A 14,701-nucleotide genomic window follows, 5' to 3' on the forward strand; every position below is an offset into this window, starting at 1 on the left:
ATTCATTTTTTCTGTATCCTTATTGGACCTTTTTTGTGGTTATCCTTTGATCTATAAATTACTGAGAGTATGTTTTTTAAAAACCTTGATTTATGGTAGATTTGTTTATCATTGTGGTCCTGTCCATTTTTGCTCACATATTTTGCAGCTGTATTATTTGGTGAGTACAGGTTGAGAATTGTTACATCTTCCTGGGGGAACTTTCATCAGTATCTACTTTTTGCCCTGCAGTTCATTTTGTGTGATTTTTGGCAACCACCGTTTTGATTGGTATGTATCTATCCTTATCCTTTTACTTTTTAATTTTTCTCCATCTTTAAGTCTTAGGCATATTTCTTGGAACAGCATGCAGCTGGATTTTGTTTTCTACCCAGTCTTGGTATTAATACTTTTTTTTTTTTTTTAAACATAAAGGATTCTGGTTGATCTGAAAAATGAAGTTTGGTATCAAAAATGTCATGACCCTGTATGTAAAGCAGAAAACTTCAAATCTGACTGTAAGTTACTAATTTTTACATTTACCACAAAGTAAAAATTAGATAACTGTAATATGTAATAGTTTTGCTATCTTTCTGATTCAGGTTTCCCATTACCTGCTGAAGTATGTCTCCTGTTTCTTTTCAAAGAGGTAAGTACAGATTTTAGTGTCTTTCTCCTTACCAGGGAGTTCTTGGTACAATAGTATACCTGAGCCATGAGTAGTGTCCAAATAGCATTGAAACCCATTTGCTACCTTGTTTTCACTTATGACTGTATTATAGGAATATATTGTAGTGATTTTCCCATTTCAGCACATATCTGATAATACAAACCTTTTTTTTTTTTTTTTACTGCTGCTTGAGGTGTACAGTTTAATCAGTCCCAGACATTTAAGAAGTTTCCCATATTTTGCTTTTCAAAGTAACAAAATACCCATCTTTGTATTTCTTTGAACATCTGTATCTGTAGGATGAATTTCTAGAAGTAGAATTGTGTCAAAGGGCATATTCAGTTTTAATTTTGGTAGGTATTACCAGGTTGTCAAACCAACATTTTTCTCTTAAAGATTTTTTATTTACCCAAATAATTAACGTGCATTGTAGAATGAATTGAAAATACATAAAATTAGGTCAGGCACAGTGGCTCAGGCCTGTAATCCCAGCACTTTGAGAGGCTGAGGCAGGCAGATCACTTGAGGTCATGAGTTTGAGACCGGCCTGGCCAACATGGAGAAACCCCATCTCTACTAAAAACACAAAAATTAGCCAGGTGTGGTGGCCTATGCCTATAATCCCAGCTACTCAGGAGGCTGAGGCAGGAGAATCCCTTGAACCTGGGAGGTGGAGGTTGCAGTGAGCTGATATCACGCCATTACACTCCAGCCTGGGAGACAGAGCGACTCTGCCTCAAAAAAAAAAAAAAAAAAAAAAGAAAGAAAATACATAAAATTAGGAAATACACAAGAAGCAAAGAGGAAAGAATCTTCCTTACTCATTTGACCAGAAATAAATGATACACGTTTTGGCACGTACCTTCGAGAATTTATGTATGCTCATTTTCTTTTTTTTTGAAGTGATAGCACACATACTATTTCAGTTTTTTTTCTAAAGTATCACAAATATTTTTAGTACCTATTATCAAATTGCTCTCCATAAAAAGTATAGGATATTAGACCTCCACAGATAATTTATGAGAGCACCTATTACCTCACACTTTGCCAGCAGTGCTTGTTTACCTCGAATCACTACCAATCTGGTAGGCAAAATGCAGTACCTCAGTTGTTTTAATTTGCATCTCTGTAATGAACTTTTTTCGGATTCACTATTAGTATTTCTATAATGAAGTGCCTGTACCTGTCCTCTGTCCATTTTTCTGTAACTTTTTTGCAGTAATTAAGTACTGTTTTTGACGTATTTCACTTTTAAATTGTAGTTTGTGTTTTGTTTTTTGTCACATCTGTCAGCTTTCTCCTCTATAGTGTTAATAGAATAAAAGAAGTTACCTGCTACAAGCAGAACAGGTGATGGGGTTTATATTCTAGAAAACTCAGTCTTAACACGTCTCTCGAAAAAACTCCATATGTTTGAAATGGTGGAAATTCCATTCTTGGTCTGCAAGAACTGGACATAAAATAACTGATAGCCAGATTCTCTGGCAAAATACCAGGTTAAAATGTGTTTTGAAATAACCAAGAACAAAGTAAATTTTAAAAAATAAACTGTCTCCAAGAGGAGGAGGATTGCATCGCCCTTGTTAGTCTGGATTGTGATTTAGATATTCGTGGTTGCAGTGGATTTTTAAGCTACTTTTTCCGCTTATCTAGTAACACCTCAAAAATGCCAAGTTGAAAGTACCATTGGTCAGTATTACCACTACTTGGACATAACTTTTTAAAGTAAGATATATAATGAACACCCATGTAGCTGTCACTTAGTTTTCAGTTAACATTTTGCCTCTCCTGCTTCATCTTGTTTTTTAAAACAAATATTTTAAATTACCAGTTGGTGTTATTTATACCTGCTTTTCTATTGCACTGATATTTCATTGGTCACTTGATTTTAAATTTACTATAAAGGCCTAACCTACAGAAATGTACAAGAATAAGGAACTCTGCTGTCTGTCCTCTATTGAGATCTGCCATTTGTTAACACTTGGCCACATTGGTTTTCTCCCTCTACTGTATACATACGCATTATTTTTGATGACTCTCTTAAACTGCAGACATCAAAACCCTTCATCTAATATTTAAGCACGTAGCGGAAAGAATAAGACATTCTGTAGCTTTTTTAATGACAGGGGGGTATCATGTTGCCCGGGCTGGTCTCAAACTCCTGGCCTCAAGCAGTCCTCCCGTCTCAGCCTCCCCAGTAGCTGGGATTACAGGCACGTGCCACTGCACTGAATAAGGACATTCTTTACATAAATAATGTATTGGGCGGATCAACTAAATGTCTATACTGAAGACATTCTATGGTAAAATAATTGATACAATACTATTATGTAATATACAATCCAGTCATATTTTGGCAACTGTTTTTAATCTTTTTTCAATCCATGTTTACGATTTGCTAAATACTTTAAAATTTAAAGCATGGGTACTAAGTCCATTGTCAAGATAGCAAATTTATCTTCTGATTTGTCTTCAGCTGGACTGTCCACTTGTTAAAAAATTAAATCCACCCTTGCTCTTCCGTCGGGGAGTATTGAAAAGTATGTGCACAGAACTGTAGGTAATTTCAAATTTGGAGTTTCAAGTGTGTCTGAGCTTCAGTGCAGCAACGTTTGAATCAGTGCACTCATTCCCACGGTGAGATATCGGAGACAGCATTCCTCCTGCATATTCACTTTAGTATCTGTCACTTAATACCTTACTTCAACATAGAGTATAAGGTTAAATCACATATCCTGAGTAAATATTTTCCTATCCCACTCTCTATCCCTTCACCACTGAAATAAAGGAAGAAGAGTTTACAACAGATGAAGCAGATGAAACTAGGAGCAATGAAACCCAGAATCCTCATAAACCATCACCTAGCAGGCTGTCAACAGGTGCATCTGCTGATGCTGTCTGGGATAATGGCATTGATGATGCTTATTTTTTAGAAGCTACTGAAGATGCTGAATTAGCTGAAGCTGCAGAGAACAGTCTTCTCAGTTATAACAGTGAAGTGGATGAAATTCCTGATGAACTAATTATAGAAGTATTACAAGAGTAACTAATTCACTATGAACACTTTTGTCACCAGGCTATAATTTGCCTGATGTCTGTGAGATTTGATAAATATATCATTCAACCTGTTTATATAAACTAAGTTTTATTACTTTGCTTTCCAATTTTTGTTTTTTACTTCTGTAAACCAATTTCATTAAAAATTAGCTTTGGTGTAAATTCAGGAGAAATCGCCTTATTAATTAATCAAAATTATGTTCACATCAACTTAATTTTACAAGTTTATTATAGCTCATACCTGGGACCGATTAAGGTGTCAACATTTTAAAATTACTCAAGATATTAACCAGAAAAGATGATTATGGCCTTTAAAACTATTGGACAAACTGATGCTATTTAACATTGTTCACAGCCATTTAATTTGAATAACAAATTTTAGATTCTAAGTAGGCCATAACTTCTTTGCAAAACAATTGATTTATAAAGGTACAGTTTCAGAAGGTAACAGCATGAGACTAGTCTTCCTATAGGCACATTTTAGTAGACTGCTCTTCTCATCCCTGGTCAAGGAGCTTCTCTAACTGATGGTTGATATTTCGCAGATGGCTTTCGGCTCCCAGAAGTGTTCTTGCTTTAAATAACAGAGCTGGAAGGCTGGATGAATCATACTGTTGAAAGAAAATTATATAATTAGCAATATCAAAAACTCATAACCTTGTCCTTAGATAGCCCAATCTTATGACTAATGCAAATTTTGATTGAGCTTTCCATTAACTACTCCTCCTCTCATTTTTAACTAGGACCATTAAGACAATTGGTTTTAATCCATTTCCCTTAGAATATAATTGATCACAAAGTTGCTAGGGAGCTGCTCTGCAAAGCTTGAACTGATCTTCTTATCCCAGAAGACCAGCTGATTCAAAGAATTGTATCATCTCTATTACTGGAGACAGGAAATCACATCTGGGACATGTCAAGGCTTGGTTTGGGCAGGTCTGCTCGTGCTGTGTAGAATCTGCTTGATATCATGTCTATTTTAAAACACAGAAAACTGTAAGACAGGTTTTACTTTAACTGAAATAACTAATGGAATGAGAACACCAGATCCATAAAAGTTCTTAAGGAAAAAAGAAAACCCAAATCTATCATCTCAAGAAATTATTTATTGGGAGAATCAATTAAATGTCTCAAAGGCTGCCAATCCAAATGTTCTTAATGATTCATGTTAAAATTAGAATACAAACCCAACATAAAATACAATATCCAACTCATGATTTTGAAATAATTAACAAAGTCAAACTTCCAGTTGCAAATTGTATCTAAGGGTGCATGATTAAATTCCTCTTACAGAATTTTGTCATACTTTGATAGTTTGCTGTTTAATAGCATGTTTTCAAGATGACAGCAGAAAAGGTGTCATGCTGTGACTACCACACACATGATAATGGAATTTTATACAAATATTTGACAAACTAATGTGTTCAAGCTCCCATGGGCACCTGCTCTAGGGAGGAATAAAGGGGAAGAAGTCACATTTGTCACTAAATGTTTAGAGTAAGACATATGCCCAAATATCTACACTTAATAAGGCAAAAGGGACAGTTAATACAAGAGGAGTGCAAGAAGGCATTGAGCTCACTCTAAGAACAGGACGCTCATCAGGTGGTGTGTTCCAAACAAGGCAGAGACACTAAACCTCGCTTTTAACCAAAGTATTATGTTCAAGCTGAATCAATGCTACAGATAACTTGCCCAAATTTAGTAACAAACTCCAAATCATAAGCTTTGGACTACTTAGGTAATTAAAAAAATACCTTTAAAAGCATTCTATTTCTGGATCTCTAATATATACACAAACCTTAGGCTCAGGAAAATTAATTTAGATCAGTGTCAAAACCTTAACATTGAATTTAGAAGTGAATACAAATCTGATCATAAAATATGTATACATTACATATATATATATTATATAAAATTATATTAGGGCATACAAATACAAATTTCTTTCCTAGAACTTAAACATTTCTATTAATCTGAGGCAGATGGCATAACAGTAGCAAAGTCTGCAGTAAAAATCCAGAAGCAACTACAAAATGTATTAAAACAATAAACTTGTTTTCCCATTATATTCCTTTTTAATGTTCCTTAACTTTTTTTTTTTTTTTGAGGCAAAGTCTTGCTCTGTCACCCAGGCTGGAGTGCAGTAGTGCGATCACAGCTCAGTGCAGCCTGGACCTCCAGGGCTCAAGCGATCTTGCCACCTCAGCCTCCTGAGTAGCTGGGACTACAGGCATACACCACCACACCTGGCTAGTTTTTGTATTTTTAGTAGAGATGGGGTTTCACCATATCGCCCAAGGCTGGTCTTGAACTCCTGGGCTCAAGGGATCTACTTGCCTCAGCCTCCCGAAGTGCTATGATTACAGGTGAGAGCTATCACACCCGGCCTGTTTCTTAACTTCTAAAATCCTACCTACCACTTATACGGGAAAATAGCTTGTTTTTCATATGCAAAAGATGCCGTGAACATGGGCTAGACCAAACAGAAGAGGCTGGTCTTTCGAACATGGCTGAGTGGTCTTACATGAATGAAAACTGTAATACAGCAGAGTGTGATTTTTCAATTGAGATTTATACACAGAATAAAAACTTCCCTTGATGAAATTCAGCTGTCCGAGTGAAAATACCTTACACAATCAGCAATTCTAGACATTACTCCTCCAGCCTTCATTAAGTAGCTAAGAAAAGTGCTGATATAATGAAGTTTCACTGGCTTATAGTGATACTATTTTAGGTGGACTCTGTAATTCTGTATCTGCATTTGTCTTTCCCCAAAGCTTCTGATACTCTAGCATGAAAATGCCCTCCCACAATCATCTTCTGAAGCATGGTAAAAAGTAAAATTGGAGTTACCGTTTCCTTTACGTTTGGTTCTTGAGCTTGAACATCTGAATAATCTTGATAAAGCTGTTTTAAATTAGATAAGAAATATGCTGCATTCCTAAGGGAAGACTTTCTCTCTTTAAGTTCATCATATTTTGTTTGTAGTTGTTTCAGCTGTGGCTCTAACCTAAAACAAAAATAAGTGACAAATAATAAAATGTACCAGCCTATCGTGGTGAAACTGAGGTTGTAAGTACGCTGAGCGAGTGTGAAGAACCGGGGCTGGCCAACTAGATGACTTGCTTTGGCTCTGAAACTACGAATGTGTAAAAGATTCTGGGTTTCAGTTTAAAATGTAGGAAAAAAAATCTCTGAAATACAATGCACAATGAATAATTAGCAGTGATATCCACAGAAGAATATTCCTTATAAATGCTGAAATTCATCAAGCCGTTCAAGTCTTGGGAACTACTGGATCAAATGTATGCCTGGTTGACATTCAGAGGCTCGCACCAGCGGAGCCAGGCACTACAGTCTAACACAGAAACCATGGAGAAAAAGCCTTCCCAGTGCTCCTTCCTCTTATCAAATCTTGTCCACTTTCCAAAGTCTAATAAAACCAGTGGAAGACTGTCAGTGCCTGGATGAAAATGTGTGACTTGGGGCAAACTGTTTCATCTCTCAGTGGCTGAGTTTCTTCATCTATAAAATAAAAAGGGATAACTTGGGTTTTATGGACCAACAAAAAAATGAGGGGCAAAGGCGGCAAATTTTGTATTTTGCCAAATAAAGATATAAAACACAATTCTCTAATATAATTTCATAAAAACGTCTTTTTTGTTTGTTTTTTTGAGACAGAGTCTTGCTCTGTCACCCAGGCTGGGAGTGCAGTGGCGTGATCTCAGCTCACTGCAACCTCCGCCTCCCAGGTTCAAGTGATTCTCCTGCCTCAGCCTCTCGAGTAGCTGGGATTACAGGTGCCCACACCACGCCCGGCTAAGTTTTGTATTTTTAGTAGAGACGGGGTTTCACCATGTTGGCCAGGCTGGTCTCGAACTCCTGACCTCAGTGATCCACCCGCCCCAGCCTCCCAAAGTGCTGGGACTACAGGCGTGAGCCAGGAAAAGTCTTCTTTAACGATTCTTTACACTGAACAAATGCAGCGCTGGGGAAAACTCACTACTGAACTGGCAGCCATGGTCAGGAGTGCTGGATTTGGAGTCAGTCAGCTGACAGTGAATCCTGGCTCCCTGACTTCCTAGGGCTGCACCGTAGGCAAGTTACCTCCCTGTGCCTTAGGTTTTCATATGGCAAGTTAAAATAATTATATACCATAGGTTTTTTTATTATGCCTTTTCAAAATACACTTCTCAATTTCTAAATTTATATCTAGAAAAGAAACAAAAGTCAGTCTTTAAAACACGTCTCAGGCTGGGCGCGGTGGCTCACACCTGTAATCCCAGCACTTTGGGAGGCCAAGGCAGGCGAATCACGAGGTCAGGAGATCCAGAGCATCCTGACTAACATGGTGAAACCCTGTCTCTACTAAAAATACAAAAAAAAATTAGCCGGGCACAGTGGCAGGCGCCTGTAGTCCCAACTATTCGGGAGGATGAGGCAGGAGAATAGCGCGAACCCGGGAGGCGGAGCTTGCAGTGAGCCAAGATAGCGCCACCGCACTCCAGCCTGGGCGACAGAGCCAGACTCCGTCTCAAAAATAAATAAATAAATAAATAAATAAAATAAACTTGTCTCAGTAGTCTCACACCGAAGACAAGTGTAACCAGGCACGGCCTGACTGTAGCTATAACCACTTATCTCATAGGACTGTGATGATGATGAGTTAGCATAGGAAGCGTTTAGGAAAGTGCCCTGCCACACAGGAAGCTTGTAAATGTTAGCTTTCCCTATTATATTTACCTTTAGTTTTCTTATTTTGGCCTGGGTCAGTGAAAACCTTACCATAGGCCAGCACCTGTCCAGAGACTCAATTTAGAAACCAACAGATTAGACAACTGCTTTCTCCCACTTAAACTCCTGTGGCAGTCTCTCTTTTTTTTTTGAGACACAGTTTCACTCTGTCACCCAGGCTGGAGTGCACTGGCACAATCTCGGCTCCCTGCAACCTCCGCCTCCCAGGTTCAAGCGATTCTCGTGCCTCAACCTCCCGAGTAGCTTGGATTACAGGTATGCACCACCACACCCGGCTAATTTTTGTATTTTTGAGATGGGGTTTCACTATGTTGGCCAAGCTGGTCTTGAACTCCTGACCTCAAGTGATCTGCCCACCTCGGCCTCCCAAAGTGCTGGGATTACAGGCGTGAGCCACCGTGCCCGGCCTAGCAGCCTCTTTTTTAAAACTTAGTTTTGAGTGAGTTTTTAAAAGTTTCAACTTTTCATTATGCACATTCTTTTCTGATAATATCACTGTCTTTCTCAAGCTATTTTTAAGCTCAGGAGCAGACACCACATCTAGCACTGTTTTACTACCAAGCCTCTAGCTCTCACAACAGCCCTGGCCTCAAAACACACTTGGGGGCTGACAGCTGATGTGCACTCCAGTCTTCCTAACCAGAAACTGGGGGCAGCCCTGGCCTGCAGGGCCTGGTAAGTTCACCTGGCCCACACTTGGGAGTGGATTCACATGCATGTCACTCCAAGGCATACCCTTCGACAATAACATAAACAATTGTCAACACTTACACAGCACTTACTGTGTGCGCCTGTCCCTGTGAAGCACTTTCTATATATGTACTTATTTAATTTCCACAACACTCTGTGAAGTATAGGTATGATTATTATTATGCCTATATACAAAAGAGGGAACTGAGACACTGGGACATTAAATAACTTGGTCAATGTTGCGCAGCCAGTAAGTGGCAGAGCTTGGGTTCAACCCAAGCAGTTCAAGCAGTTTAATGTGTAGATTCTAGAATTCAACCCAGGCAGCTGAATTCTAGAATCTAGGCATTATATCTCTTAAGGCCAGAGCTGAGAAATCTGTGGAGATAGATCAGTGTGGAATTCTCCTTTGTCAAAAGGTGGGGCAACTAAGCAGCATACCCTGCCTTCACTGAGTATCGGAGCTTGAAGATAACCTGGGGCTTTAATACATCACAGCAGCAAGTGTCACTCCCCTAAATGACACACCATCATTACATCCTTTTAGGTAAGTGCTCAAACAGGATTTGACAGTATCTTACCGAAGCAGTTCATCCTGGACTTCAATCATACGCTGCCTTTTCTTTTCGATATCTGAAATCATCTAAGTAACACAATCATTTGTGTTAAAATTAATTTGTAACTGTTTGAGCACTGCCACATAAGCTGCCAGGTAATGAAGTGCAGTGGAAAACAAGACAGACCCAGTTCTTACCATCACAGACTTTGGTCTAATGGGGAAGACAGACATTACATAGAAACAGTATGTATTTACAGCTTGTGATATGTAGGAAAAGAAGAGAGAACTCTGGAAAAGAAAAGCAGGGGTATCTACTTCAGAATGACCAGAGGAAGGAAAGCAGGGGCCAGGTCTTTACTGGACCCTGTGACCTGTAAAGTGAGGAGATTTTATCTAGGCATACTAGGAAACTATCAAAGCAGGGGAGTGTTGTGATCCACTCTGTATTTTAAAAGAAATATTTCATATTTTATTATCTCGGACATTCAGTCACTTTTAGTGACTACCTAATTCTCCATTGTTAGACATTCATAATGTTCCCACTCCGTAATAAGCAATGCAGAAATGACCAATAAGAGATTAAAACTGAAAAACAAAAACATCCCAGAGCTTGCAATCACTGGAAGGAAAACGTATGTATTTCAAGTCCACTTCTACTTTAAATGTAGAGGTGGACTTCCACTCCTGGATTCACCTCTGATGCTCAGAGGTCATTTGGTCCAACCATTTCCAGGTAAGCAAAGGAGACTCTCATGCTGGCTGGCTTGTCACCCACTGCAGACCCAGTGGTATACAGCTTATAGGTGGTATAGCAATGAAGCAGCAGAACCAGGACTAGACATGAGGTCTCCTGACCCTTAACCCAGTATTCTTCCCAGGCTGTCCTACCTGGGACAGTTCTTTATTCTAAAAGGTTGTGCTTTTCGACATCCACAAAAGCAATAAATATATATTAATATTTATCCATGTAAGTGGTCATTTTGGACTGGGTAGTTTTTTTAAAGCTACCTTTGTGACATTAATAAAAGGCTTAAATTTCTGTCTTTAATTATAAAAACAATTATTTTGACACTCGTGCAGCCTTAGGAAACAAAAGTGACTAGGATCCCCATTCCTTACCTTGCATTAATAATACCAACCGTATCAACCACAAGATCAACCAAATAAAAGCCTGACAAGATTATGAAATCTACTCACACTCTAAAGGCTGTAAACCCAGAGTCAAGTCTTCGCATAACTCTACATTAGTATTGTGTTTGACTCTATGACTCTAATCACATAAATAATTTACCTTAGCATTCTTCCTTTTCAGATTTGTCAACATCTGGCTTTCTTTAAGCTACACAAAACAAAAAATACACATGTACATCAGTTTCCAAAAGTAAATGTTAATTAGTTTCACATGTGTCACATTTAGTTTAAAAACAGTTATGTGGAATATGAATAGTTCTAATGAGTTTATTACCATACTGCCAGCAAATGCAAGCTTTTCTAAGACAACAATATGCTGCTACAGGATTAGTGAAAAAAACCTTAGACCAACAAATGCATGTCCGTGAGCTTACCATTTTGATGAATTGTTCTTTAACATTAACATAAAATGTGGCGATGGCTGCCTTACAAACTTTAGATTCTATTCTTTGTCTGTAGAGGAATTAAAAAAAAGTCTAAGTACCATGATGGATTTTGAAAGGTGTTTCATTTGCTTAGCATACAAACAAACATACACATACAATTTGGCATATACCTTTTTTTATTTTAAAAATATCTTTAATCTCTTATTTTTAATAATCTCAATGTTTTAGATTAAGGGGTTTGTTATATGGGCATACTGCATGACACTGACGTTTGGGGTACAACTGACCCCACCACTCAGGTAGCGAGCATAGTAGCAAACAGGTTGTTTTCAGTCCTTGAATCCCTCTGTCTCTCTTCCCTCTAGGAGTCCCCAGTGTCTATTGTTGCCATCTTTATGTCCATGTGCACCCAGTGTTTAGCTCCCACTTATAAGTAAGAACACGCGGTATTTGGCTTTCTGTTCCTGCAATAATTCACTTGGGATAATGACCTCCAGCTGCATCCATATTGCTGCAAAGGACATGATTTTGTTCTTTTTTATAGCTGTGTAGTATTCCATGGTCTATATGTACCATATTTTCTTTATCCAACCCACAGTTGATGGGCACTTAGGTTGATTCCGTCTTTACTATCATGGATAATGCTGCAATGAACATATGAGAGCACCATTTTAAATAACTAAGATGGCAATGTTCAGCCTGAAAAAAACACCGGAAACATGTATCAGCAAAAGAAAAAGAACAAACATATTATTCCCTAAGCCCTCTGGTACGGGGTCATCTTAATTCCCTGATACTGACCAACCTCACAGGTGATACCAAGTAAGGTAGAAATGCTTATGGATACTCCCAATCTTTTTCTGCTAACTGATAGACCCAGCAGACTTTATTCCCTCCCTCTTTGCCTGTTAGCAAAAGGAGGAGCAACTGTGTAACACATCTGGACTAGCCAAAAAGTAGCCATAAATCAGGTGTTAGTTCTTCAGAAACTATAAAGCTGACTCAAAGAAACTGCCTCAGGTCTCTGTCACTGGGGAGAAGAGATCTGGTGGCCAGGCTCTGATTCTCCTGGCTTGGCTCACTCACCCATTAAGATGGCTATTATTAAAAAAAAACAAAACAACAAGTGTTGGTGAGAAAGTACAGAAATAGGAACCCTTGTGTTGCTGGTGGAAATGTAAAATGATATAGTCACTGTGGAAAACAGTATTGGCAGTTCCAAAAAAATAAATAAATTAAATTAATTAAACACAGAATTACCACATGATCCAGCAATTCCTCTTCTAGGTACATACACAAAAGAATTGAAAGCACGGACTTGAATATCAATTGTACACCAATGTTTGTAGCAGCATTATTCACAATAGCCAAAAGGTGGGAACAACTCAAGTGTCCATTGATAGATGAATGGATAAAGGAAATGTGTTAAAATCATGACCACATAACAATGTCTCAGTCAACGATGGATGGCACATACAGTGGTAGACCCATAAGACAATAATGGAGCTAAAAATTTCTAATCACCTAGTGACACTGTTGCCATCATAATGTCATAGCACAATGCATTATGCACATACTTGTGGTGATGCTGGTGTAAACAAACCTATAGTGTTGCCTAGCTGTGTAAAAGTATAGCACACATACTTAGGTATACTACATAATACTAGGTAATAAATTACTAAGTGCCCCAAACAGGTGTAACATACTTCATCTTTTTTTTTTTTGAGATAAGGTCTCACTCTGTCACCCCCGCTGGACTGAGTAGTGTGATCATGGCTCACTGCAGCCTCAAACTCCTTGACTCCAGTGATCCTCCTGCCTCAGCCTCCCGTGTAGCTGGGACTACAGGCATATGCCACCACGCCTAATTTTTAACTTTTTTGTAGAAAACAGGTCTCATTATGTTGCCCAGGCTCATTTTTTATCTTTTATACTGTATTTTTACTGTACCTTTTCTATGTTTAGATACACAACTTACCATCATGCTACAATTATCTACAGTACTCAATACAGTAACATGCTGTCCAAGTGTGTATCCTGGGAGGAATAGGCAACACATCATATAGCCGCGGCATGTACTAGGCTTACACCTAAGCCTAGTACATGCCATCTAAGTTGGTTTAAGTACACTGTTAACACAATGACAAAACTGCCTAAGGATGCAGTTCTCAGAACACATCCCCGTTGTTAAGTGACATGAATGTGTATACATGACTGAATATGATTCCACCTTAATAAGTAAATTCTGACACATGCTATGACATGGGTGAGCCTTGAGGACATTATGCTGAGTGAAATAAGACAGTCACAAAAGGACAAATATTGTATGATTCCACTCATATGAGGTACCCAGAACAGTTAGATTTATAGAGACAAAGTAGAATGGTGATTGCTGGGGGAGGGAGGAATGAGGAGTCATTGCTCGAATGGGTACAAAGCTACCGTTTCCTAAGGCTTTAGTTCTAGAGATGGGCTGCTTAACAAGTTGCACACAGTTAACACACAATAAAAAGAAAATATTTCTACACTTCACACCTATCACAATGGCTAAAATAAAAATTAGTGAGAACACCAAATGCTGGCAAGGATGTAGAGAATCTGGATCATAAATAAGATCATACACCGTGGAAAACAGTCTCAGTCCCTTACAAAACTAAACATGCAATTACCATATAACCCAACAACTGCACTCTTGGGCATTTATCCCAGAGAAATGGAAGCTCAGGTTCAAACAAAAAAAAATGTATCCAAATGTTTACAGCACTGTGTGTGTTAACAGCCCCAAACTGGAAACAACCCAAATTCCTTCAATGGGTGAATGTCAAACAAACCATGGTATATCCATACCATAGAATGTTACCTAGCAATGAAGTGGAATGGAATCATACAACAGCTTGGATGAATCTCCAAGGCATTATGCTGAGTGGAAAAAAGCTAATCCCAAAAGGTTGCACACGATACAGTTTCATTTATATAACATTCCTGAAATGATGAAATGATAGAAATGGAGAACGGGTTAGTGGTTTCCAGGGCTTGGGGCTGTGGGTGTAGTTATAAAAGGGCAACATGAAGACAGCGGGGGCACGAGAACACAAGGATCCTGGAGGTGATGCAATACACAAACCTATGCATATGATAAAATCCCTATATTATTCCTTACAACTGCACGTGATTCTACAATTATCTCAAAAGAAGACATTTAATTAAAAAAAAAAGTTGTAACTTGTTATTACACATTGAACAAAAAAATTCATGAATAATGAGGTATTTCTATACATCCATGTTCATAGCAACATTATTCACAACAGCCAACAGGTGGAAGCAACCCAAGTGTCAACTGATGAATGAATGGATAAACAATGAATGGAGGAATGGTTATCTGTATATACACAATACACAGCCTTAACAAAG

At 38.4% G+C, this 14,701-nt stretch overlaps 2 protein-coding genes across 30 annotated transcripts in view; one reads left to right on the top strand and one right to left on the bottom strand.

Annotated features, from left to right (window-relative positions):
- PRIMPOL (primase and DNA directed polymerase) overlaps positions 1 to 3,868 on the top strand; it is a 45,215-nt gene extending 41,347 nt beyond the window's left edge. For 12 of the 24 annotated variants that reach the window (NR_144314.2, NR_144313.2, NM_152683.4 and 9 more), the window contains 3 exons: positions 415 to 497; positions 582 to 628; positions 3,438 to 3,868. Coding sequence is in view for 20 of the 24 variants with exons in the window: in NM_152683.4 (NP_689896.1) it covers positions 415 to 497; positions 582 to 628; positions 3,438 to 3,695 (388 nt within the window). In the remaining 4 variants the exon portion in view is untranslated. Of the gene's footprint in view, positions 1 to 231; positions 271 to 414; positions 498 to 581; positions 629 to 3,125 lie in introns of all 24 variants that reach the window. The other 12 variants (NM_001345891.2, NM_001345893.2, NM_001345894.2 and 9 more) reach the window with 4 other exon arrangements.
- Positions 3,001 to 14,701, bottom strand: part of CENPU (centromere protein U) — a 40,012-nt gene continuing 28,311 nt past the window's right edge. For 3 of the 6 annotated variants that reach the window (NM_024629.4, XM_005263218.5, XM_047416162.1), the window contains exons 9-13: positions 11,279 to 11,357; positions 11,005 to 11,052; positions 9,736 to 9,797; positions 6,563 to 6,719; positions 3,001 to 4,317 (exon numbers count right to left, since the gene is read on the bottom strand). In NM_024629.4, coding sequence (NP_078905.2) covers positions 4,204 to 4,317; positions 6,563 to 6,719; positions 9,736 to 9,797; positions 11,005 to 11,052; positions 11,279 to 11,357 — 460 coding nt within the window. In that variant the 3' untranslated portion in view covers positions 3,001 to 4,203. Of the gene's footprint in view, positions 4,318 to 6,562; positions 6,720 to 9,735; positions 9,798 to 11,004; positions 11,053 to 11,278; positions 11,358 to 14,701 lie in introns of those variants that run through there. The other 3 variants (NR_104593.2, XM_047416163.1, XR_007057963.1) reach the window with 3 other exon arrangements.

The sequence above is a fragment of the Homo sapiens genome, chromosome 4 (assembly GCF_000001405.40).
Source record: "Homo sapiens chromosome 4, GRCh38.p14 Primary Assembly".
NCBI classification, from domain to species: Eukaryota; Metazoa; Chordata; class Mammalia; order Primates; family Hominidae; genus Homo; species Homo sapiens.